At 35.4% G+C, this 24,501-nt stretch overlaps 1 long non-coding RNA gene across 1 annotated transcript in view; it reads right to left on the bottom strand.

Annotated features, from left to right (window-relative positions):
* Positions 1-6,316: 6,316 nt before the first annotated feature.
* LOC105373651 (uncharacterized) overlaps positions 6,317-24,501 on the bottom strand; it is a 42,737-nt gene continuing 24,552 nt past the window's right edge. Inside the window, exons 6-7 of the long non-coding RNA XR_923388.1 lie at positions 7,611-7,709; positions 6,317-6,397 (exon numbers count right to left, since the gene is read on the bottom strand). This is a non-coding gene — a long non-coding RNA (uncharacterized LOC105373651). The remainder of the gene's footprint in view (positions 6,398-7,610; positions 7,710-24,501) is intronic.

Here is a 24,501-nt window from a genome sequence, read left to right as displayed (position 1 = left end):
TTTGTGACACAGGCACCTGGGGAATTCAGTTATTGTCCAGGTGCTACACAGGCAGCATGTCTTGGCTGTAAACTTACTGAGTAATATGTCTGACACATTACTATGAGAAACAACCTATTAATGTATCTGGAATCAAGCAGACCTGAGTTTGAATTTATAACCTCACTAGCAGTGAGACTCCAGACATGACTCAAGCTCTCTTAGTTTCTTTTTCTCATCTACAAGATCCTGATAAAAATCCTTACATCGTATACTTATTGTATGACATGGGTGAGCACTTACAATAGCCCAGTGCTCTTCCATTATTCAAATACTCATAATTTGATGAATAATTTATCAAAATTCATTTATATTCAAAACTTGTTTGTTGTCATTATGAAATATTCTCAATCAACTACTGTTGAAAGTATGCCGACTATTATATTGAGTTCCACAAAAATGATTTTTTACAACTCAGACAGATTGGAACCAACTAAATGTAAATATTATGAATATATGAAGTGGTGACACTAAAGTTTACTAGGGAGATTCCCATATTACAAAAAATAAAGGTAGTCATTTTAAATGACATCAGTATAAGTGGAGAAAAATCTCAACAAGATAATGTCAGTTAGGAGACAGTAAACATCAACAATCTGACTGACAGATACTCTGTGGGGTTCTTATCCAAGTTCTGTGATATGATAAGCAATTAACAGTTTCATGTGATAGTTATTGTATATTTTATAATAAACAACACACAAAGCACTTACTGTACACCAAGTGCTATTCTAAACATCTCAGGTAAGTTAACTCATCTCATCCTTATAAAAACGTCATGAGATGAATGTTATTATTATTCCCATTGTACAGATGAGGAAAAGTAGCGGGTAGGCATTTGAAGTTAAGGTACTTGAAGTTAAGAATACACAGAGGTAGCATATTTGCTACTTGAATTGTTAGCTCAAGAGTAGACTAACATAATATAGTGCACAAAGTAAAACTCTGAGGTATGGTGATATGGTTTGGCTGTGTTCCTACCTAAATCTCATCTTGAATTATAATCTCCATAATCCCCATGTGTCTAGGGTGAGACCTGGTGGGAGGTGATTAGCTCAGGGGGAGTTTCCCCCATGCTGTTCTCGTGATAGTGAGTGAGTTCTCACAAGATCTGATGGTTTTATAACGGTCTCTCCCCCCTTTGCTGTCATTCTTCTTTCTCCCGCCATCATATGAGAAGGTCCAAGCTTGCTTCCCCTTTGCATTTCACTATGATTGTAAGTTTCCTGAGGTCTCCCCAGCCTTGCAGAACTTTGAGTCAATTAAACCTTTTTCCTTTATAAATTACCCAGTCTCAGGTATTCTTTTATGGCAGTGTGAGAACAAACTAATACGAACTAAATGAACACTTGGAGTCTGTTTCAAGTGTTATATCTCTGTCGTTAGTATTTCAATTCAAAAAGATGTTACTATAGCAACTCTGTGATGGTGTTTCTGTGCCTGTGTAAGTTTTTTGAGGATTTCTTTGATCAGAATGAGGAAGTTACTATTAACTACTACTTTTCTGAGACATAATGAATTTTTAATTGATGCTACTGCTTCTATTAAGTTGATCACAGGGCTTTTCTCCTCTATTCTATTATTATGATAAATTAGATTGGTTTTTAAACTGCTTTAACATTTGCTTCTTGAGATAAATCCCACCTAGTCTATGTACTAGATCTTAGTTTATGTACTATCATTTTTTATAAATATACATTGCTGTATTTGATTTGCTAATTCATTGTCATGAGTGTTTATGCCTATGTTTATAAATGATGCTGGTGATCTGTAGACTTATTTATTTCTAAGGTCTTGTCTAGTTTTGGTAATGTTGTCCTTATAAAATTCCCTAAAAAATATTCCCCTGCCTCTCTATTTTCTGAAAGAGTTTGCTTAGAATTAGTGTTATTTCATCCTTAAATATTTGGTAGAATTTACCAGTAAAATCATCTAAGCCTAGAGTTTTCTTTGTGGGTTAGTGTATTCAATTTCTGTAGTAGATACAGAATTATGTAGGATATGAATTTCTTCTTTACAACTCCATATATCATTTTCTTATAAATTACTAATATGTTGGCAAAATTTTTCATAACATTCTCTTATTATTGTTTTAATCTGTAGGATCTTGTATGGACAACTCCTCTTTAATTCCTATTACTAGTGATTTTTGTCCTCTGTTTTCTGTTGATGGGTTCAGCTTGTTGTTTATGAATTTTGTTGACTATTTTCAAAGAACCAGCTTTTAAAAACGTTGATTTTCTTCATTGTCTTTCTTCTAGTTGTTAGATTCATTTTTATTTTTATGGAGTAGAACCTTGGGTTTTTGACTTTAAACTTTTTTTGTTTAAATAAAACAAAAATTTTACTTCTAAGCATTATTTTATGTGTATCCCCAAAAGTTTTAGATAATATGTCTTTACTATTATTCAGCTTGAAATACTTTCTATTTGCCTTTGTGATGCTTTTCTTTTACCAATAGATTTATTGATTATTTATTATAGATTTATTTTACCAATTATTATTTAATTTTCAAATATTTGGTAGTTTCCTAAACATCTTACTATCATTTATTCCTACTTTAATAACCATTATGATCAGAGGAGATAATTTATGTGACTTTCATCATTATAAATTAATTGAGACTTATTTTATGTTCCAACTTCTTGGTGAACATATCATGTGCACTTGTATAAAATGTGTATTATAAAGATTTTGCATATTATATTTTATAAATATCAATGAGATTAAGCATTTGTGAGTGGTCTTCAGATGCTCTATGTCTTATATACTTTTTGGTAGATTGTTTCATTAATAGTTGAGAGAAAGAGGCATTAAAATACATTCCCGTGGTTTAGAAGTTGTTATTTTTCCCTTTCATTTTGTCAATTTTGCTTCATGTATTTTGAGGCTGTTAGAAATATAAATATTTATTATTGCTATTTCTTCCTGATGAATTGACCTCTTTTTGTGATTCTGAAATGCCCCCTCTTTATCTGGTAATACTCTTTATCTTGCAGCCTATTTTGTCTCATATTAACGTAACCATTCCAATCTTCTTATGCTTACTGTTTGCATAATATATATTTTTTCTATTAATTTGCTTAGAGTTTCTGTATATCTGTGCTTTCTTTATACTTCTTGTAGACAACACACAGGTGAATCTTGTTTTTTATCCATTTGATAATCTTTGACTTTCAAATGGAGTTTTTAGTTTATTAAAATTTATCATAATTAGTGTTGTGTTTAGATTTAACTCAAAAGAAGTACTTGTTTTCTGTTTGATCTCACTGTTTTTTCTTCACTTTGTTCACCTCTCTTGTCTTCTTCTCTTTAATAAATTAGAAATTATTTTATTTTTGACTTTTTTTCTGTTCCTTTTGACATTTTTTACTGGTTGTTATAAGGATTAAGACATACATCCTTAATTTTTTTCACAGCCTACTTAGAATTAATATTTTATCACTCTACATAAATGCAGAAACCTTTCAACCTAGGCCTATTCAACACTCATGTGCCATTCTTCATCTCACTGTTTATATATGCACTATATCTCCATATATTATATACCCTAAAACATAGCATTAACAATTTTATTTTATACAACCATATTAATTTTAAAGAAAGTAGAAACAAATATTTTTTTCATTTAGCAATCTGATTTTATTTACCAACATGATCCACAGGTTAAACTATCATTTCATCGCTTGCATTGTTTCTTCATGCAAACCCAAGAAATATTGTCAATGTTACAGTGTTCTGAGACCATGTTTGAAACTTAGAAAATGGATCTTACTATACGTAATTGCTCTTAAAAAAAAAACACAGAAAATGACCCTAACCATATGTCTATATTATAATACAATTCTGATGCTGCCAAAATAGACATATAAAATCAGCAATTATTTTAAAATCAGAAAATTAATAGTTAAATGATTTGGTTAGTTAATACATGTTTTGAAACTTTTATTCACCCATTACAAAGGAACTTTTCTGCTATCTTGCCATGAATTTATTTTAATCAAATATCAATCTGCTTTTTTGCCATACTTTTATGTTCATATACATTTTTGTTTCCATGCTGAATCAGGGTCATCTTTTTGAAGATATTTTAAGGATCAATAAAGCATAACACATGTAGTGTTAATAATGCACATAACTCAATTGATTTGAAGACCATATGAACAACTATGACTAATTTTAGGCTTTCTGAGGAAATGACACCTGCATCCTGACTGCTGCCTGACCAGTCGTTAATTTTTAAATCCTCTCAAATGCAGAGATCTCAAAATGTGCAAATGCGTTTCTTAGCATACATAAAATACTGCTAAATATTTTACTTTATTTTTTTAATCAAGAAAATAAGCACACCTATTGCTTGAAGAAGGAGCCATTCCTCTAGATAAATATATGAGACATTTTTTGTTTGTTTGATCCTTAATAGAGCATTGTGGTCTATTTGTTTTCATGTGTTAAAATAACACAATTATTGGAAATCATTGCCACAGACTGTATTTTTTGAAAATAAAAAATCCAGAATCAGAAGTTTGGTCAACTTTCCAGACTAAGAATAAATTAACTTGAGCTTTATTTTATATTGTGGTTTGCACCCTCCCTACACTCCTATATATAATATGTTTTAATATAGAGAGAGTTTTTGATGTCTGTTGAAAGAACTGCATAGAAAAAGTCTGAACCTCACCTTCCTCTGTGCCAAGACTTGTTTGTCTCATAAAATGAATAGAAAAATTGGGAGAAAGGTCAACTCATGTTATCCTTTTAAAATAATAGAAACAATGTGGAAATACTGTATTTCCTAATGAGCGCTCTTAGTTCCAAATAAGCAATTCTGATGAGGCACATACAGGGAGCAAATTTTAAAGGAGGATTTTCATTAGATATGTATATTGCAAATTTTGAAATAATTTGTAGGCATTTGATCTGCCCCCAATGACCTCATCCCACCTCCCCTTTAGTTTGAAATCTTTTCCTTCTCCAACTCCTTGCATTTCTGCACCATTATGATCTTTTCACCTGTATGTCTTCTTCATGCGCCACTGTTTCATGGCTTGACTTTCTTTTTCATCTTTGCTTAACTGAACCCTTTTTCATCCTTTAAAACTCACGGCATTGCTTATTCTAGGAAGGTCCCTCTGATTTGAGGATATTTTATTCTAATCCAAATTTTAGTTAAGAGTTTTTGGGTACTTTTTATTTTCCTCAACTTTTTTTTTTTTTTTTTTTTTTTTTACCTTCCTTGGAATATAGAGTTGGAATGTTCTGGTTCTGCGTTAGTCAGCTCGGCCAACAGAACAAATCCCACAATCCCCGCTTCCAGAATTGTGATGTGTAACCCCATCTGTGGCTTCAAAGTTAGAAATTTATTTTCTTAAATTCTAGAAGCTGGGATGTCAATGATCAAGGTGATGGCAGATTCGGTTTCTGCTGGGGGACCTCTTCCTGGCTTCTTGCAGGCAGCTGCCTTCTTGTGCTTTCTCACCTGGCAGAGAGAGAGAGAGAGAGAGAGAGAGAGAGAGAGAGTGCTCTTTGGTGTGTCTTATATAAGGACATTGATCCTATTGGATTGGGGTCACACCTTTATGATTTCATTTATCCTTAAAGTGTCTGTCTCCAGACACAGCTGCCCTAGGTTTTAAGACTTCAACATATGAATTTGGGGAAGACACATCCAGTCTATAACAGATTCTTTGAGTAGTTCCTTTAAAATCTGAGAAACAAAGATGCACAAGAGGACAGCTGCCTGCAAGAAGACAGGAAGGGGTCCCCCAGTAGAAACCAAATCTGCTGTCACCTTGATCTTGGACATACCAGCTTCCAGAATTGTAAGGAAATAAATTTCTAACATTGAAGCCACAGATTTGGTGTGTCTTATATAAGGACATTGATCTTATTGTTTTATGTAAAAACAACTGTTCCGTAGCCTCATGAATCATGACTTCAGGGTCAGGAGCAGTAATATCACCTCACTCTTGAATTAGAAGTGGCATCATTACAAAATGTCATGAATAGTAGACCGGATTGTCACTCAAAATGGAGTTAGGTTCCCATCCTTTTTCATTCTCCCCAGGCCCCACCCACTAATCCTCTGTGATTCCAAGATTCCCTGGGAATTATTGTTTGTTTGTTTGTTTTTCATTTACCCTTGATTTTCTGATGTCCTGGGTATTTTCATTTTCCTTTCAGATCCACTCCTTATTCTAACCCAGTCTTGACACAGCAGATGATTGGATTAATAAGTATAGTTCTTTATTAGCTATATTTTCAGTCCTCTGTTTGTTGTGTGTTATTGTTACAGATTTAGCCCATAATATCCAGAATCATTTTGGAGTCTGTCATTTGGACCATCCCGAATTTTCTTCTGAAATGCAAAACAGGAAGGAATAAGTGTTTCCTTTGTGCAGTAAAAATAAATAGGACAGTAAATCAAAACTCCAATCAGTATGTCCCTTTCTTTTATGGTGGCTATCTAATATAGAGTTTTCTTTTTTTTTTTTTTTTTTTTTTTGACATGGAGTCTCGCTCTGTCGCCCAGGCTGGAGTGCAGTGGCACGATCTCTGCTCACTGCAAGCTGCGCCTCCCGGGTTCATGCCATTCTCCTGCCTCAGCCTCCCAAGTAGATGGGACTACAGGTGCCCACCATCACGCTTGGCTCATTTTTTTGTATTTTTAGTGGAGACGGGATTTCACCGTGTTAGCCAGGATGGTCTCGAGCTCCTGACCTCGTGATCCACCCATCTCAGCCTCCCAAAGTGCTGGGATTACAGGCGTGAGCAACCGCGCCCGGCCCTAATATATGGTTTTCTGAAGAGCATTTTGGATTGAGTAAAATGTTGATAGAGCTTGTTGAAGAGTGAGGAGTGAATTTTATCTTATAGAAATAGAACATTGGATTTGCCATCTTGGTAAGGCACAATAGAGGAAATGAAAGGGATCAACTGAATATTACAGAAAGAAGGAGAGAGGAAAAGCCAAATTACCCGAGCATGAATAGAGAGAGTAATGGTAGGATTAAAATTCTGATATGAGACATATTGTCTCATGGATCTTTTGAATTTGAAAGGTGTGATTTTGTTCATTGTTTCCACTTCTCATTTGCATGTAGGACTGGATTACTGAATTTAGATAATTTGCTCATATAAATTCTCTCACTTGATGACTCTTGTTGAATATGCCTTCTTTCAAAGAGGCACCAAATGGAGAGAAAATATATATAACAATTAGGATGTCTGAAAAAAATTACAGTAGTCCTTTGAAATGAAGACACAGATGGGAAAATATAGTTCTTGATTTTTCTGAAAATACATTCCTTTTCTGAGGAGGGGGAAGCCTGTGATACCTACACATAACTGATTAGATGGATAGTGCTATTAAATTTAACTGTAAGATCCAACTGCAACCTACCTGGAAATGTTCTCTAGAAAATGATGAAGGTGATTGGTATAACAGAGCTTAATTTGAAGGAGGATATATAAATATAAATATAATGCAATATTTAGCATTATAGAAAAATCATTGTGTTTGGTCTGAGGAAGACAAAGAGGATGATAAAATAATACAATGTAGTTTTTACCTCATGCTGGTATAGTGATGATAAGGGTGTGAAGATCATTGGTAGATCAGTGCTTGGGCCCTCAAACTGGAATGCACCACCACCTTGAAAACACAGAGCCTGTGGCACAGAAAGACTTGCTCTCAGTAATGGTTTAGATAATTCCTGACAGAATCTGGAGAATTTTGCATGCAGACTAAATAAAGCTCATCCATAGTTCCAGAGATTTGCTCTCATGGTATATGGAAACTTATGAATGATTAGAAAATAATTTAGAGTTGAACTACCTAGACATTTTTATTTTTCTTTCTCTCTTCCTGCCCCTACTTCACTTGCTTTTTATTGTTGTTTAAGAAATGCTGTAATATTTCATATGGTGCATCAGCCTTCAGGACCTGGAGAACATTTCCTCTAGCTAATTTAACACCTGTATATTCTCCCAGACGTAGCTGGGTCTGGTAGCCTCATGGAACATGCCTGCCTTTCATGAAAGAGGCAGAACTCACAGTTCTTATTGAGGAATCTGTTTATCAAAGTACCTCGCCACAACATTGTAGCTTGTTTCTAAACAGAAAAAATAGTTATCCCAAATATTCAGTATTCCTTTTGTTCTGTATAAAATAAAAGAATTTCTGATTTTAATATTCTTAAAAGCTAAATTAGCAATGTAACAGCTTAGCTGCATAAAGTGTAATATGTAACAAATTGCTGTGTTAAAATAGAGATCTAATGATACCTTCATTAACTTGATCACTGAAATGGCAAACCCTTTTCCAACATAACAGTTTCTATAGATACCACATGCTTATGATCAAAATTGCTTTTCTGAATGTGTTTTTCTCTCCCATTTTGATTGTATTTTATATCTTCTTTCTGGCTGTAAGTTACAATTAAACATAAGGAAAAATAGTGCAAGGCAAAATATACTCTGCATCTGTTTTACTGCTCAAATAAATACACAATCTGCACAAAACAGATTTTCCTAGTGGGCAAATTTCAAATGACTCCCTAGATAGGTTCTAGATTTTTTTTTAATGCCACCAGGGATGCACCAAATGTTGCTGGAGGAAATTTCCATGTATTCTAACTACCTACCAAACAGCTAAATTCTCTGTCAAAAATGTGTAATTTAAGCTCTTATAATAATTGTTACCACAAAAGATGAATCCTGGTTGATAAGTAGATTTTTATCCCCAAGCATAAATATATTTCCCTATTAATTATTATTTTGCAAACATACAAACAATTGTTTTGGGAAAAGAGCCTTTGAAACAAAAGGAAACTTCAAAAAAAAAAATCCATGAAAATGCTTGATTTGTAGAAACTGTCATTTTTTTCTCTGTAACATTCAAAGAGTTTTATTGTTGTTTTGTTGTTGTTTAGTATTTTTTCCTATATATTATAATAATAAAAATAAGTCAGACCACTAATGAGGAACCAAAAAAATATTATTCTATTTGCCATGAGAACAGTTTTATGTTTGAAATTTTATGCAGATAATTTCAAATTAAATTTTGGAGAAAATTATGGCAAGGAACCAGTGGACCAAGGAACCATACTGAAGCCCAAGGCAAAAGGAAAATTCAGTAATGCTGGAATTATCTTTACTACAATTTTTGATATTTTGTCCACCACAGATTTTTTGGATTATTTTTGATTTTTTTAAATGTTGCATTAAAATAAGATTTATCTTCGTTACTGAAGTTTGGCATGCTCTTAAATTTTGCATATAAGATAAATGTCTCACTTATCTCATTACCTTCACTGTCGTGATAGTTTTGCAAAGAGTGATATGTTATAATTATTAAAATTATTGAGCAATAGTCTACATATGTTAAATTCTATTTTAATTATTAAAAACTGAAAAAAGTATTATGAATTTCACAACTGATTCATTTCAGCTTGGGCATCATGATATTATCAGCCATCGTAGCCCCAAAGATCTCCAAATAATTTGGCGTGGACCCTCAGCAGAGGTTGTGTCATGATAGTGATATTTTATTTCATTTAGTGAAGTACTTTATAATTTATGGAATGTAAGACTATCACTTTAGTTAATATACTCAATAGTTCAGATGTTTCCACATTTATGTACTTTTTTGTTTCCACATTGACATATTGTTTTAAATACTCTGACTCAAGCTACATTTATTTATCCCTTATGATGTCTAAAGTTCTTACAAAAACCTTTTCCATGCTCAAATTATATTTAGAAAAGCTGCATAGGGCATCCTCTCTTGAAACTTCACAGTTCACATTAGTATGTTAAGTACTCTAAAATGTTCTGTAATAAATGCAATTGTTTAATTTTGATTAATTCAGTTTTTCCCAAATTATTGACCCTAAAATCTTTTAGTGCATTTTTGGTACATAAAACTTTTTAGCCTTTATAAGTACATAGGTGTATTAGTTCATTCTTGCATGGCTATAAGGAAATACCTGAGACTAGGTAATTTGTAAAGAAAAGAAGTTTAATTGGCTCATGATTCTGCAGGTAGTGTAGGAAGCATAACACAAACATCACTTAGCTTCTGGGGAGGCCTCAGGAAGCTTTTACTCAAGGTGGGAGATGAAGAGGGAAGCAGGCATGTCACATGGTGAAAGCTGAAGCAAGAAAGAAATAGTGGAGAGGAGGTGCCACACAGTTTTAAATGACCAAATATCACAAGAACTCACTATCATAAAGATGGCACCAAGCCATGAGGGATCCACTGCCATGATCCAAACACCTCCCACCAGGGCCCACCTCCAGCACTGGAGATTTCAATTCAACCTGAGATTTGGGTGTGGACAAATACACAAACTATACCAATATAATTTCTCAGAACACAATTTAGGAAATACAATTTTGAAAGAAATTAATAGACATTTGTTATACTGCTATACAATAGCATTTATAGTACTTTTTCAGCCTCAATATTATTAGAATGCAAATAGATATGTGTTTGGCAATATTTCACATGTATATGACCTGATTTTACAGCTTTGGAAACTGAAGAAGATAAGGGAAAGAGGTCAACGATGAAATTACTTTTCTAACCCTAAACCATATATTAATTCAACAGAAAATGATCCTCTGAAAAGCACAAGAACTGTATTCTATTTCAAATATAAGTCCTTGAGATATTTATAATGTCCAATAAACCCATTAGTTCTCCTTTTTATATACTTTCCAACATCTTCAAATATCTAGACTTTCTAATATCTATCCTGTCTTTTGTCAGGTGCTTTGGTAAGTATTCCATGCTTTCCTAACCAGTTTCAAAGTTTTCTTGTCTTAGTACACATGCCTACTCCTCAAAGAAGTGTTTTAGGGATGATCCAAGCTGTTACTTACATATTTCTCATCATAAAATTCCTCTACTATCCTGTGAGGCCTTTGAAGCTAAAAGTAGTGCTCTATTATTTAAATAAATTACAATGGGTGGCATATTGCTAAATAAACATAGGTGTATCATTAAAATTTCTGACTTAATTAAAGTAGTCAAATTATGGGTAATTGTTAAAGTTTTGATAAATATCCTTCATCAGGAAGAAATTTTATATTATTTTCTTTTTAAAAATGCCAATTGAGACATTACCAAGTGGTAGAGGGTAATACTGAATACCATCTGGCATGGTTGAAAGTCTGGACTATGTGGCAGTTATACCAGGGATCAAAGTCCATGTTCTTCTTTTACATGTTGCAGGAAATTAAGATGTCACCTTGAATGTATATTACTATAAAATGGAGATTTTGCCGGACTTCTAAGAGGATTAAATGGCATGATATATTTGAAAGAGCCTAGTAGCTCCTGTCAGTTCTCAAGAATTTCTTAATGAAGGGTGGCAGAATATACCACCCTAAAGCATGCCACTTTGACAAAGGATTCATTTGAGATAAAGACACTTGAACAACAGCAAATCCAAGAAGAGCATTTTAGTCTCCCTTTTCTTACTGAAAACAGGAGATAAAAGCTCCTTTGTGGAAGACACCCTCCCAGTACCAGGAGAAAAAAATAATTCTTCCAAGGCATGTCATAGCCGAGAAAATTCTGCACAAACTGACCTTGTTAAAATAATTCTTAACTTTTTTATGTCTCCTCACACAGTTTTGTTACTTTAACCCCATATGAAATTTAGGTTTTGTCAATTCTTTGTGTCTTTATTTTCTTATGAGGGCTCCTGTGTCCTGTAAAATGTACATAACATTTGTATGCCTTTCTCCTGTTAACCTATCTTACGCCAATTTAATTCTCAGGCCTAGCTGAAAATCCTGATAGAAATAAAGTTTTGCCTCCCTTACACTAAGTACTTACTGGGGACACTGTATCATCTTCAGCATTGCCTTTCATCAAAATAGGCACTTAACATAACATTAACATTGCATACACAGGACTCCATAGAGGGAAAGCAGAAAGTATTTTATTTTCACCCATTTCTTTGCCTGTGGATAAGATGTTGTTCTGGTTCCATCACGTTTTAAGTCACTTCTATATAATAATAGACTGTTGATCGTCTTTATTTTCCCAAGTGGTTCAATAGGTGATATGGTTTGGATGTTTGTCCCCTCAAAAATCTCATGTCAAGATATTATTCCCAGGGTTGGAAATGGGACCTGGTGGGAGGTGATTGGATCATGGGGGTGGAACCCTCACGAATGGCTTAGCATCATCTGCTTGGTGATGAGTGAGTTCTCAGTTAGTTCACATGACATCTGTTTTTTTTTTTTGTTTTTTTTTTTTTCAAAGAGTCTGGTACCTCCTCTTTCTTTTTCTTGCTCCCTCTCTCACCTCACCATGTGATACTGTAGCTTTCCCCTTTGCCTTTCACCATGATTGTAAGCTTCCTTAGGCCCTCACTAGAAGCCAAGCAAATGTTGGTGTCATGCTTGTACAGCCTGCAGAACCATAAGCTATTTAAACTTTTTTTTTTAGAAATTACTGAGCTTCAGGTATTTCTTTATAGCAGTGCAAGAAAAGACTAACACATAAAATTGATACTGAGGAGTAGAGTGCTGCAACAAAGATACCTGAAGATGTAGAAGTGGCTTTGGAACTGGGTAGTGGGCAGAAGTTTGAAGAATTTGGTGGGCTCAGAAGAAGAGAAGAAGATGAGGGAAAGTTTGGAACTTTGTAGAGATTGGTTACATGGTTGTAACCAAGATAGCTGATAAGAGATGTGGACAGTGAAGGCCAGGATGATGAGGTTTCCGATGGAAATAAGGAACTTGCTGGGAACCAGAGTAAAGGTCACATCTGTTATGCACTAGCAAAAAACTTGGCTGCATTAAGTCCAGGTAATAGGGATCTGCAGATGTTTGAACTTAAGAGTGATGATTTAGGGTGTCTAGTGGAAGAAATTTCTAAGAAGCAAAGCATTCAAGAATTAGTATGACTGCTTCTAATAGCCTATGATCAGATGAGAGCAAAGAAATGACTTAAAAGTTGGAATTTATATTTAAAAGGGAAATGGAGAATAAAAGTTTGGAAAATTTGTGGCCTGGTCATGTAACAGAGAAAGAATCCAAGCAGGCTGCAGAGCAACCATTTGCTAGAGAGGTTAGAATGACTAAAAGGGAGCCATATGCTAATATCCAAGACAGTGGGAAAAAGGCTTTGAAAGCATTTCAGAGATCTTGAAAATAACCTCTCCATCACAGGCCCAGAGGGATAGAAGGAAATAATGGTTTCAGGGGCCAGGCCCAGATCCCCACTCAAAGCACTGTTCCAGAGAGTTCAAGTCATAAACCTTGGTGGCATCTACCTGGTTTTAAGTCTGCAGGTGCCCAGAATGTAAGTATAAAGGAAGCTTTTTGGCTTCTACCTAGATTTCAGAGGATGTATGAGAAAGCCTAGATGCCCAAGCACAAGCTTGTTGCAGGGGCAGAGCCCTCACAGAGAACCTCTACTAGGGCAGTGCAGAGGGGAAATGTGGGGTTGGACCCCCAAACGGAGTCCCCACTAGGGCATTGCCTAGTGGAGCTGAGGGAAGGAGGCTGCTGCCCTCCAGACCCCAAGATGGTAGAACCACGGGCAGCTTGCATCCTGATCTGAGAAAAGCCACAGACACTCAGTTCCATTCCATGGAGGCAGCCATGTAGCTGCGCCCTGCAAAGCCATAGGGGCAGAGCTGCCCAAGGCCTTGGAAGCCCACCCCTTACAACAGTGTGCCCTGGATGCAGGGCATGGAGTCAAAGGGGATTATCTTAAATCTTTAGGATTTAATGACTGCCCTCTGGGTTTCAGACTGCATGGGGCCTGTAGCCCCTTTCTTTTGGCTGATTTATCTTTTTGAAAATGAGAATGTATACCAAATGCCTGTAACACCATTGTATCTTGGGAGTAAATAATTAGTTTTTGATCTCACAGGTGGAAGGAATTCATCTTCACATGAGACTTTCAACTTGGGACTAGGAGTTTGGGACTTTTGAGTTAATGCTGGAATGAATTAAGACTTTTCAGGACTATTGCAAAGGCATGATTATATTTTGAAATGTGAGAAAGGCATGAGATGTGGGGGGCAAGGGGAAGAATGATATGATTTAGTTGTTCAAATGTAATTCCCAATGTTGGAGATGGGCCTGGTGTGAGATGATTGTATCATGTGGATGGATTGCTCATGAATGATTTAGCACCATCGCCTTGATGATGAGTGAGTTCTTGGTCAGTCAGTTCACACAAGATCTGGTTGTTTAAAAGAGTCTGGCACCACCCCCTTCTCTGTCTTGCTCCATCTCTCACCATGTGATACCACCAGTTTCCTCCTGTATCTTCCACCATGACTGTAGGCATCCTGAGGCCCTTACCAGAGTCTGACCAGATGTTGGTGCCATGCTTCTTGTACAGCCTGCAGAACTGTGACCCAATTCCATCTTTTTTCTTCATAAATTACCCAGCCTTACATCTTTCTTTTTAGCAACACAATAACAGACTGCCATGATAGGTAAAATATTCAATTCAAATTAATGACAAGATCTTCAAACTGTGAAGTTAAGATTCTTTTCCCTTTTCCTCTTGGTAATGTTTTAGGTCAGAAATGAACTTTTTCTTCCGCCTCTCCACCACCTTTCAAACTGTGGCTTTGACTTCTTCAGTGTTTTAGGATGTGTTGGGAAAATGAGGCAAGGTAAGTTACAGGAAATATATTGCTTGCTGGGTACTGGTGTCATCTCACTTTGGCCTCCTCTGAGTTTGGTAGATTTTCTAAGCTAGTTCTTTCTCTCATGGGAATAGTTTCTGCTTCTCCAGGATTTTGCTGAGACTGTCCCTTCTGCATTAACATGTCATGAAGAGGATTAATTTCATCCTTCAGCCCCTGGATATTTCTCAGCGTACCTCCTTTGCTGGGTTGCAGTGACCCTTCAGTGATTATTCATTGACAGGATTTAAAATGTCACCAAGTCTGCTCTCTTCTATGGGGCCCATATTGGTCCACGAAAAATATCCACATATAATTTTCCCATATATGAAGTCAGAATTTAGCCAGTTCTCACTTATATATTAGTACTTTGGGGATTCAATAACAATGTACCACAGATTGGATGGCTTAAACAACAGAAATTCATGCTTCACAATTCTAGAGGTTGTAACTCCCTGATCAATGTGTTGGCAGTGTGGGTTTGTTCTGAGGCCTCTTTCCCTGGCTTGTAGATGACCATTTTCCCCGTGTCTTCACATGGTCTTTACCCTTTGTGTTTCTGTGTCCCAACCTCTTTTTACAAGGATACCAATCATATGGAATTAGGGCCTACTCTAATAATATCATTTGACCTTAATTCCTTCTTTTTTAGGACCCTGTCTCTAAATACAGTCACATTATAAGAAACTGGGGGATAGGACTTCAACATATAAGTTTTAAGGAAACAAAATTCAGTCCATAACATCAGTATAGGCCAAATTTTCTCTGTGTCTCTCCACTATTCTCTATGGTTAGCCACAGCCTATGCATCATACATTGAAACTTCCCAGGACACTCTAAAAACTAAGATTCTATTTCCTGCAAGCACCAGGAGATAGATAGATATATATCTCAGGTTTTCTGAGTTGTCCCCTATAATTTCTCCCACTTTACTTGAGGGGACAAAAGAAAAAATTGCACACCTCAGCAATTTTATCTATATATATTTTCTCTTATGGCCTTCTTTTTCAGTTGCCACCCTTTTTACATGTTTGAGGTGGCTATTAGGCAAAGATTTGCAAAACGTTTTTTCAAGCCTATCACAAATTTTCTAATAACTCATATTAAAATACACAAACAATTAATTTGTTCACACACATTTAGAGACTCGGCTACATTGGGGGAAAATAAATTAGATTATAGCAGATAAATTTTCTCACTTTTTAGGTATAAAAAAATACAGATTTTCCAAATCTTTCTGTTTTTGCAAATTATTTGAACAGAAAGAAGCAGAGACAGAGGGGCTGACAAAGGCTATGTTCACAGAGTCCCTAAGATGCCTGGATGAAATTTATTTTTCCACATCTCAGTTTTATCATTGATTCTTAACATTCAGAGGGTCCCAAAGTTTACTAAAATATTAGGATTTTCCTTATCCCTTTTCCTGAACCTTATAGGAGACAGAAAAATCTGTTCTTTAAGATTATTTTGTATTGCTGCTACACATTCTCTTGATAAGCCAGAGAAAGGGAGCAAGTACAGGCCTGAGAGAGAGTAGAACTTACCATGTATAACACATGTGTGCACATGCACACACACACACATCCCACATCAAAAAGAAATTTGGCAGTATAGACATGATGCTCAATATTTTCTGAAAACTTGGAGAAGAGAAAAATTGAATAGGCAAAAATGATCAGTAATATTTTGGCAGTATCTCTATGTATGCCAGGTATAAAACCTGCCTCAATGGTAAGAATTTGATTTTTTAATTTAAGACAGAGTGGCTGGAGGATCCTTAGATAACAATATTTTTTAAAAAAATTAGATATATATTCAGAGGACTTTACATCATCATAAAAAATACATTAAAAATACATTAAAAAATAGCATATTAGCTATTTTTTTGTCTTTTGAGGTCTTCAAATTTAGGGAGCTAGTATTTCCTTGCTCCCAAATACATTTGAAAACATAGCCTCTAGAATTAGTAAGCTAAATTATGCTTCCAAATGTGCTCCTATACACAAAACTACAAAGTGGAGCCTATGCTCCATTTCCTTTATGCACTATTTCTCTTCATTCAGATGGAAGATATACTGATCCAGCTATCAATATATATTTGGACTGTGAAACTTTAACTTTTTGTAATTTGAGAATGATATTCACTAATAAACCTAACATTAATAAAGTCTCTTTGTCTTTGTCTTTGTTTTTCCCTTCATGTAGTTTTTTAAAATTACTTTTAAAAATTATTAATTTGGTCCAAATTAATCCCATTATAGATCAATGCTTTGTATGTATTATTTAAAATAAATTACATTTTCCCATAACCAACTATTTCATAAAGTCCAGATGTTTCTCTTCTACTCTTGTTACGCTGTCATATCCAATTTGAAAATAATCAGCAGTTTTACAATGTGTATTGTGTCAGAGTGAACATTAGAAAATGATTAACTCAGTTGAACCTATGGAAAAGGAAAAAAGAATAAACTATTCCATTATGGTGATAGTATAGGAATTAATATATTTATTTCAAAAAAGTGTATAAAATCTATATGATATTAAAAACTTAATTACTCCCTTTCCAAAATAAGGATCAAGATACCACAGAGTTGATGGATTCATACAGCAGTAATGCCAAGCATTTTCTGCCATTTATTAGATTGTGAGAATAGCATCACCCAGCATCTGGATTGTTCAGTGGATGCCTCCCAGCAATGTGTTAAATAGATCTCCTCCTACATTTCAAGCACTCAAACCTAGCTGCTGATATATTTTCCTGCGATAAGAGAAAGATGTATTTACCCATTAATGAAGAGAATTTCAGAAACCCAATTTCACCAGCTCTTGCCTCATCATTCATTTTCTTCATTTTCTCCCTGGCTTCTCAGAACAATGAGAAAGGTGACTGAGAAATCTTGAATATGAATGTGAATCGGCATCAAAGATATGATAAATCTAAAATAGTGGCTATTTTTTCAAGTAGTGTCACCCTGCTATCTATTTCTATTGTATTCCTTGATAGTGTGTAGAAAATGTAAAAAATGTACAGCCCTATTTCCTTTCTTTTCCTCCTCTGAAAAAATTAATATAGTGTGTACTGTGAATGACCACATTCAAACTAAAGTAATAACACTTGAATTTACAAAGTGTTTTATAGAAATTGGTTAAGGATTTAGCATGCTAAACCCATTTTTGGACTCTCATGTTGCCCAAACTTTAATTCTTAAAATTGATGGTAATAAAATCATATCCATATGTCCCAAGACTCATCAGTCTTGACTATCAAATGAGGTCAATTTTATTATACATGAATCAATTATGGGAATAAGGATTGATACCAACCTGAATTTAGGCAGCTAGACCCATCAAAATGTCTTAACTGAGAGATACCAAAGAGTGACATATATGAGCCCTAAAAGATTTAGCAACTAGGCAGAGAAAGACTTTGAAAAAGCAACCAATGCTACGCTAAGAGGAAAATTTAGAGTGAAAATATTTTAAACAAATATTTTTAACACAATTTTCAAAGTTGTAGACCTCCTTCCTCTATTGCAAACATCACCTTTCCTCTATTGCAAACATCATCTTTCCTCTACAACTCTTCTTTGGCTAAAATGTGTAATCCAGCCCTGGGCCAGCCCTTTGACCCTTGGTGAAGACAGAGTAGGAGATCTAAGATTGAGGGCAAATCATCTCTAGGCTGAGGGCACTCCTCCCTTTACTTCTGACTTCTCTCCATCACTCTTCTTCTCACACTTTTAACGCAGGTGATTTGGAATTATAGTCTGGCTGCTGTTCCTTTGTGGCAAAATCAGTTATCAAATATCTTTTGATATTTTCCTTCTACCATATTCTGTCTTCTTTTGTCCAAGATACTTGGTGAAGTCTCACTGATGAGTGTGTTCCTCAGTGAGCTTTTATAGCTCCGGGTCCATGTTGACTATGAAAGCACATAAACTGCTTTACGTAGTTCCCACAAGAGTGGTCAAGAAGGCCCTGGTCCCGAACTTTAAGTCACTGTTTGTCACCTAGGACTTGAAGGTATTCTGCCTCCCCCTAGAGTCTTACCATGTCTCTGTGAAAAATGAACCCACCAGTTTCTGGTTCTTTCACTTGTAACCATAGAGATGCAACCTGCTCACAGGACTCTTGAAGTAGATGAAGTTCCAGCTACTTCACTTTTTAACTTTCTCCGCTAAGGCTGTCATTGTTGTCTCTTTCTTAGTTAAAAAAAAATTATTTTAGTCATATTTACAGCTGTAACCTAAACAAGAAAGTCGGGGATTAAATGAAAAGAGTGTCCTCACTAAGAATACCTGTGTGCTGAATCATTTCATTTTTCAGATCCACTCTTCACCTTCTCCATCTTGCTCTGTGCCCTGAGGGTACCCTGTGTGGATTACAGATTGCCTTTCCTTCCAGCTTGGGTTGGTCGGTGAGAAGCATGAGAGAAAGTGAGGTCAGATTATCCATCCTACTGAATAGCTCCTGGATCAATCTCAGCAGTCAACAATGTCCCTCTATCAAAGACCACAGCTTCTATCTCCTGTCAGGTGGCCCTCTCCTATGATTTTAGTTTTCTTGGATTTCCAAGCAATTACTCCTTCTTGGCTTCAAGATTAGAGGTTATAATGGTTCCTCACCTACGAATCCTAGGGCTCTTTGCCAACTCTTGTTTGTTTCCCTTGTGAACTCTCCTCAGTCGCCTCATTTGGATGTGGAATCTCTTTCAACGTTCTCACTCAATCTGCTCTCCATCATAGTAAACCTAACATGCCCTGTGATAGCACTTTAAAAAGAAAAAATCAAAAAGTTGTGATGTCCCTCCACCTACACAGCTAAGGGTTTTCAGCCGGGGTCCTTTGTAGATACCAGCTTCTTACCTTCTTCCTCTATTCACATGGTTCTTTTCCTATCCTGAAACATCATGACTTAGATAATAAGGGAAATGTTAACTAGCTTAAATTAGTGAGCCTTTTATTTATATGTAAGTCATTTAGTAATATAAAATAAATCATTTAAAATAATAAATCAGGCCAAGCGTAGTGGCTCACACCTCTAATCCCAGCATTTTGGGAGGCCAAGGCAGGTGGATAACCTGAGGTCGGGAGTTCGAGACCAGCCTGGCCAACATAATGAAACCTAATCTCTATTAAAAAAAAATAATAATAAAATGAAAACCAAAAATTAGCCAGTGTGGTGGTGCATGCCTATAGTCCCAGCTACTCTGGAGGCTGAGGCAGGAAAATCACTTGAACCCGGGTGGCCGAGGTTTCAGTGAGCCAAGATCATGCCACTGCACCCCAGCCTGGGCAACAGAGCAAGACTCCATCTTGAAATCATAATAATAATAAATCAGAATTTTTTTCTATATGATGAGAGCTTTATGTTCAAAAGTCAAAAGAACAGTTATCTAGAAAGTATTGCAAATAGAAAGTTCCTTCAACCCAGTTTCTTCTTGCATTATGGAGATCACATAGTCAATGACTATTCCCGCCAGGAACATTTCTCTGAAGTGATAGTCATTCTTTGATAAGTGAAGGCCAAGTCACAATCACAAAAAACCACTACAAACCATTGCTTCCCACTATGGGAGAATCTCCAAGAAAGTGCAATTCCCAGGGCATCCCACAGGATTTAAAACAGTACTTCAGAAGTCTATTTACTTAACATATGCTAAAATGAGCCACCTTCATTCACACCAGTCCACTACTCCTAAGCTTAATTCTCCAAGAATTTCTTTATATAAAAACCTGTTTTCCAAGATTTTAAATAGTATTTTATAGGTTAGGGAATAAGACCCCTTGAATAATAAAAGATATATACATAGATAGTTTTCAAAATTTATTCGTAATATTGTCATTACAAATATTAATTCTTAAAATATTTTATTTGTGGTCACACTGTTCATACAATTTTTCCTATATTTTTATAAATATTATGTCAAAAGCATTTGCTCTGTTTCAAAGCATATGTCTTTGAAATAATTTTTTTATGCTGTATCATATTTTTTACAAAATTACATGATATATACTGTAATGTGCAGAGAGATTCCCTGTTGTTGGGTATTTAGAAGTTTTCTAGTTTCTAGTTATATTTTGGATTATTTTATAATTAACTTCTCAAAAGCATAATTCCTAGGTGTTAGGAATTATAATTATGGATAATTATTAAACCCTTGACTTTTATTGCTAAAATAGATTGCAAAATCATGCTTTACATTCCCCCCAAGAATTAGAAGAGAAGTCTGTTTTCCCACACTGATCTATTTCTTAATCCTAAAGGGAACTACATCTTAGAGAGTTTACATAGTAAATATCCAATGCAGAGAGAGCATGTACATTTTATATTAGTTGAATTTCATAGCATATGTATTGTGAGACTTTAAAAAATATTGTGCATACATTCTACATTTAAGGTTATTTCTATTCCATTTATGTTTTAAAATTATTAATTTTTAAAATCTGTTTTGTATCTCGAATGTGTATCATCTACTCTGAATATTGTTATTCTCTATCACCAACATAAATTAATAATGTTTTAATTATCTTGAGAAAACAATTAACTTCTTTGGAAATAATAAATTTTATCTCCATGTATATTACTAATTTTTGGAAAAAATGATACTGAAAATATTTTATTTCATTTGAAACATTATAAAATCTTTCTGTCCATTTTAATGTATTCAGAGAGTCCTTAAAATACAGCAATGCAAAAAGTAAATCGTACTTCAGCTGTCATCTCTACTTCCATTTTCATTAGTTTTACTTCTAAAAGTTGAAATATACAAAAAAAATTGGTAGCATTTTACCTTTATAACTTTAAGACATTCACTCAAACTATTCTGTAAAACAACTGGCAGTTTTTGACCTTCTCATTATTCTTCTCATATCCAGGGCATCCAAGCACGTTGCAAGACGTTACAGGAAACTGCTCCTTAAATATGTGTGATACATGATGCTTGACTTTACTACTCTAATGACAGTTGAAAGTTCAGGTCACTGCTTTCCTTTCAAATGATAGACTAATGGAAAAATTGACAAGTGTGTTCCTTACAACAGAATCATTTCCAAAGTCATTTTTACATTTACTTATGTTGCCCAGTCAGACCAATATTCTGATATGCCAAGTCCAAATCAGGACTCTCCTGATGAGGAAAAGTTGTTTTTCTATTCACAGATGAGAAGAATAAATTGCAGGAGAATGTGAGTTACCATTGCCTAGGGCAGAAATATGGTGTCAAGAGATTCCTGTTTAACTTCCCTGCTCAATATTTAGTGGCACACTGGGAAGTCAAAGCCAGCAATTCAAGGAGCCAGCTGGCAGTGTACAGAACAATTTGGCCTTGAAACTTGATCCTGTATGAGGATGAAATGAAATGACTGTGTAAGCTCCTTAGAAAAGATAAAGGTGTTATAGACAAATGGAAGGTATTATTACTTAGGTCAGATAAAATTTGTGGCCAAAGACACCCCTTTTTCTTGCATTCTCAGGGCAGTGCTAGTAGTATAGTTGGGCTATGATGTGGACCTTTCATAGGCTTTAAGATAATTCCTGGAGAAGAGTAAGCCCAGTGGCCTTTTTATTCTTTTAGAGGGCAAACGAGATATAAAATAAAAGGTAGGCTCCAAAACAGCAGTTATATAGGACTAAACAAATAATCTAAAAGTTAAAGGTCACAAACAGATTTACTTTGTGTGTTTGTTTTAGACAGAAATTTACTTTTTTAGAAGGATAGATGTAGAGATCGCTTTAGGAGGGAACCTAAGTGTGTCATTTACATGTGTCATTCTTCAGTGTATTCTCAGGCCCTAAAGAAGGGCCTGGCACAAAGGATGTTCTTTTGAGTTAGTGAATAAAAATTCGGCATGCATTTTGTCCAAATGGTCTCTAATTGCCAGATCTCCTTAACAGAGTACCCTTGACATTATTTCCCCACTATCTTAAAGCAGAACCACAGAATACAAGAACAAAGGAGCTGATAGCCTGGATTACCATAATATACCCTGCCACTGACATCAAAATGATGTTCCTATTAATCTAAAGAGATTTCTTCTCTCTGCCACTCTTGAGCTCATATAACCAAGTTCAAATCCATCTATCTTGTCATGATACCTCAAAGGATCAATACTTTTCAGTTTACGAAATACTTTCCTTGCTAAGCTAAGTTTATGGTAGCTATCCATATCACATATTACCTTCCTATACATATTCTCTTACCTATTATCTCTGATACTGTCCTTGGTCTTTGCCCTAGTAAGTACTAAAGCAGCTCAGTGAAGCTGGTTTGTTATCTGTTGATTGCAGACAGGACATTTTGGGTTTACACTTCTACTGAATCATCCAGACACTGGTGATAGATAGCAAAAAGCAAAGCTGAAATATGAAACAAGCGCATGCCCACTCTGGTAGTTCCTCTGGAGGCCACCTACTGGAAGTCCAAATTTCTGTGCATTTGATACCTGTGCAGTTAGCCGATCAATGAGGACTCTGATTCTACAAGACTGGTGGGTGCATGGATGAGGCTCCCAGTTATCCTTTTGTCTCTATCACCCATGGTCCCTGCATGGGGTTTCCACTAGCAAATCACTGATGTAGCTTACTGACTTCATTGGTTTTCTAAGGATGCTGCAATAAGTTGCCACAAACATGGAGGCTTAAAACCACAGAAATTTATCCATTCATAGTTCTGGCCATCAGAAATTCAAAATTAGTGTCAGCGGGGCCATACTCTCTGAAGGCTCTCAAACAGAATCTTTCCCTGCTTCTGGTGGCTCCAGGCGTTCTTTGTCTCATGGCTGCGTCACTCTAGTCTCTGCTCCAGTCTTCACCATAACCTTCTACTCTGTCTCTTCCTTTTCTATAGAAATATTTGCCATTGGATTTAGAGACCACCTCTATCCAGGATTATCTCATCACAAGATCCTTAACTTAATTATATGTACAAAGATAATGAAATTAGCAAGAGCTCCTCTTTGTGTTCTTCCCTTATCATAGCCCTTGTTGAAAGTCTCAGTGGAGCATTACATTTGGAGTCCGAATGATAAGAAACTAAAAACTACACCTTTAAAGAAACACAGATCTTAATTGTAAACTAAATTTTCGTAATTCCTCTCCTTTGGGAAGAGAGCAGTGAACCTCCCAATCATTCTATGACTGAATAACTCCTCGTGAATAATGAAAAAGTCAAAATAGGCCAAAATCTGGTGATATTGAACACGTTCACTTATTTTGTAAACCTTAAACAACTAGAGCCTACTAAATGTACACACAAAAACTAGAATAAACTCTCTATATTTAAGTATTTAATTTAACTATGTAAGAAGAATGTATTTAGAAATTAAATGATTACAAAACATCTAAATAGATATCATTCAAATTTTGGCTTTAATTGAATCTGACAGATTATTATGTTCTGAAACTAAATGACCACTGGTGAGACAAATGTGATTGCTGGCTACTGAATGTACTCTGAGACGTGTTGACAAAAAGCATCAAACTCTGTAAAATATTTGAAGAGATTTATTCTGAGCCAAATATGAGTGACCAAGGCCCATGACACAGCCCTCAGGAAGTTCTGAGAACAAGCGACCAAGGTGGTCAGGCTGCAGCTTGGTTTTATACATTTTAGGGAGATGTGAGACTTCAATCAAATGCATTTAAGAAATATATTGGATTGGTTTAGAAGAATGGGACAGCTTGAAGTGGAGGGTGCTCTGTGTGGTGCTTTCAGGTTATAGGTAGATTTAAAAATTTTCTGATTGACAATTGGTTGAGTTTATCTAAGGACCTGGGATCGATAGAAATGAAA

This window comes from Homo sapiens, chromosome 2 (assembly GCF_000001405.40).
Source record: "Homo sapiens chromosome 2, GRCh38.p14 Primary Assembly".
NCBI lineage: Eukaryota > Metazoa > Chordata > Mammalia > Primates > Hominidae > Homo > Homo sapiens.
Note: the sequence above shows the minus strand (reverse complement) of the source record. Positions and strands in the feature narration are given on the sequence as shown.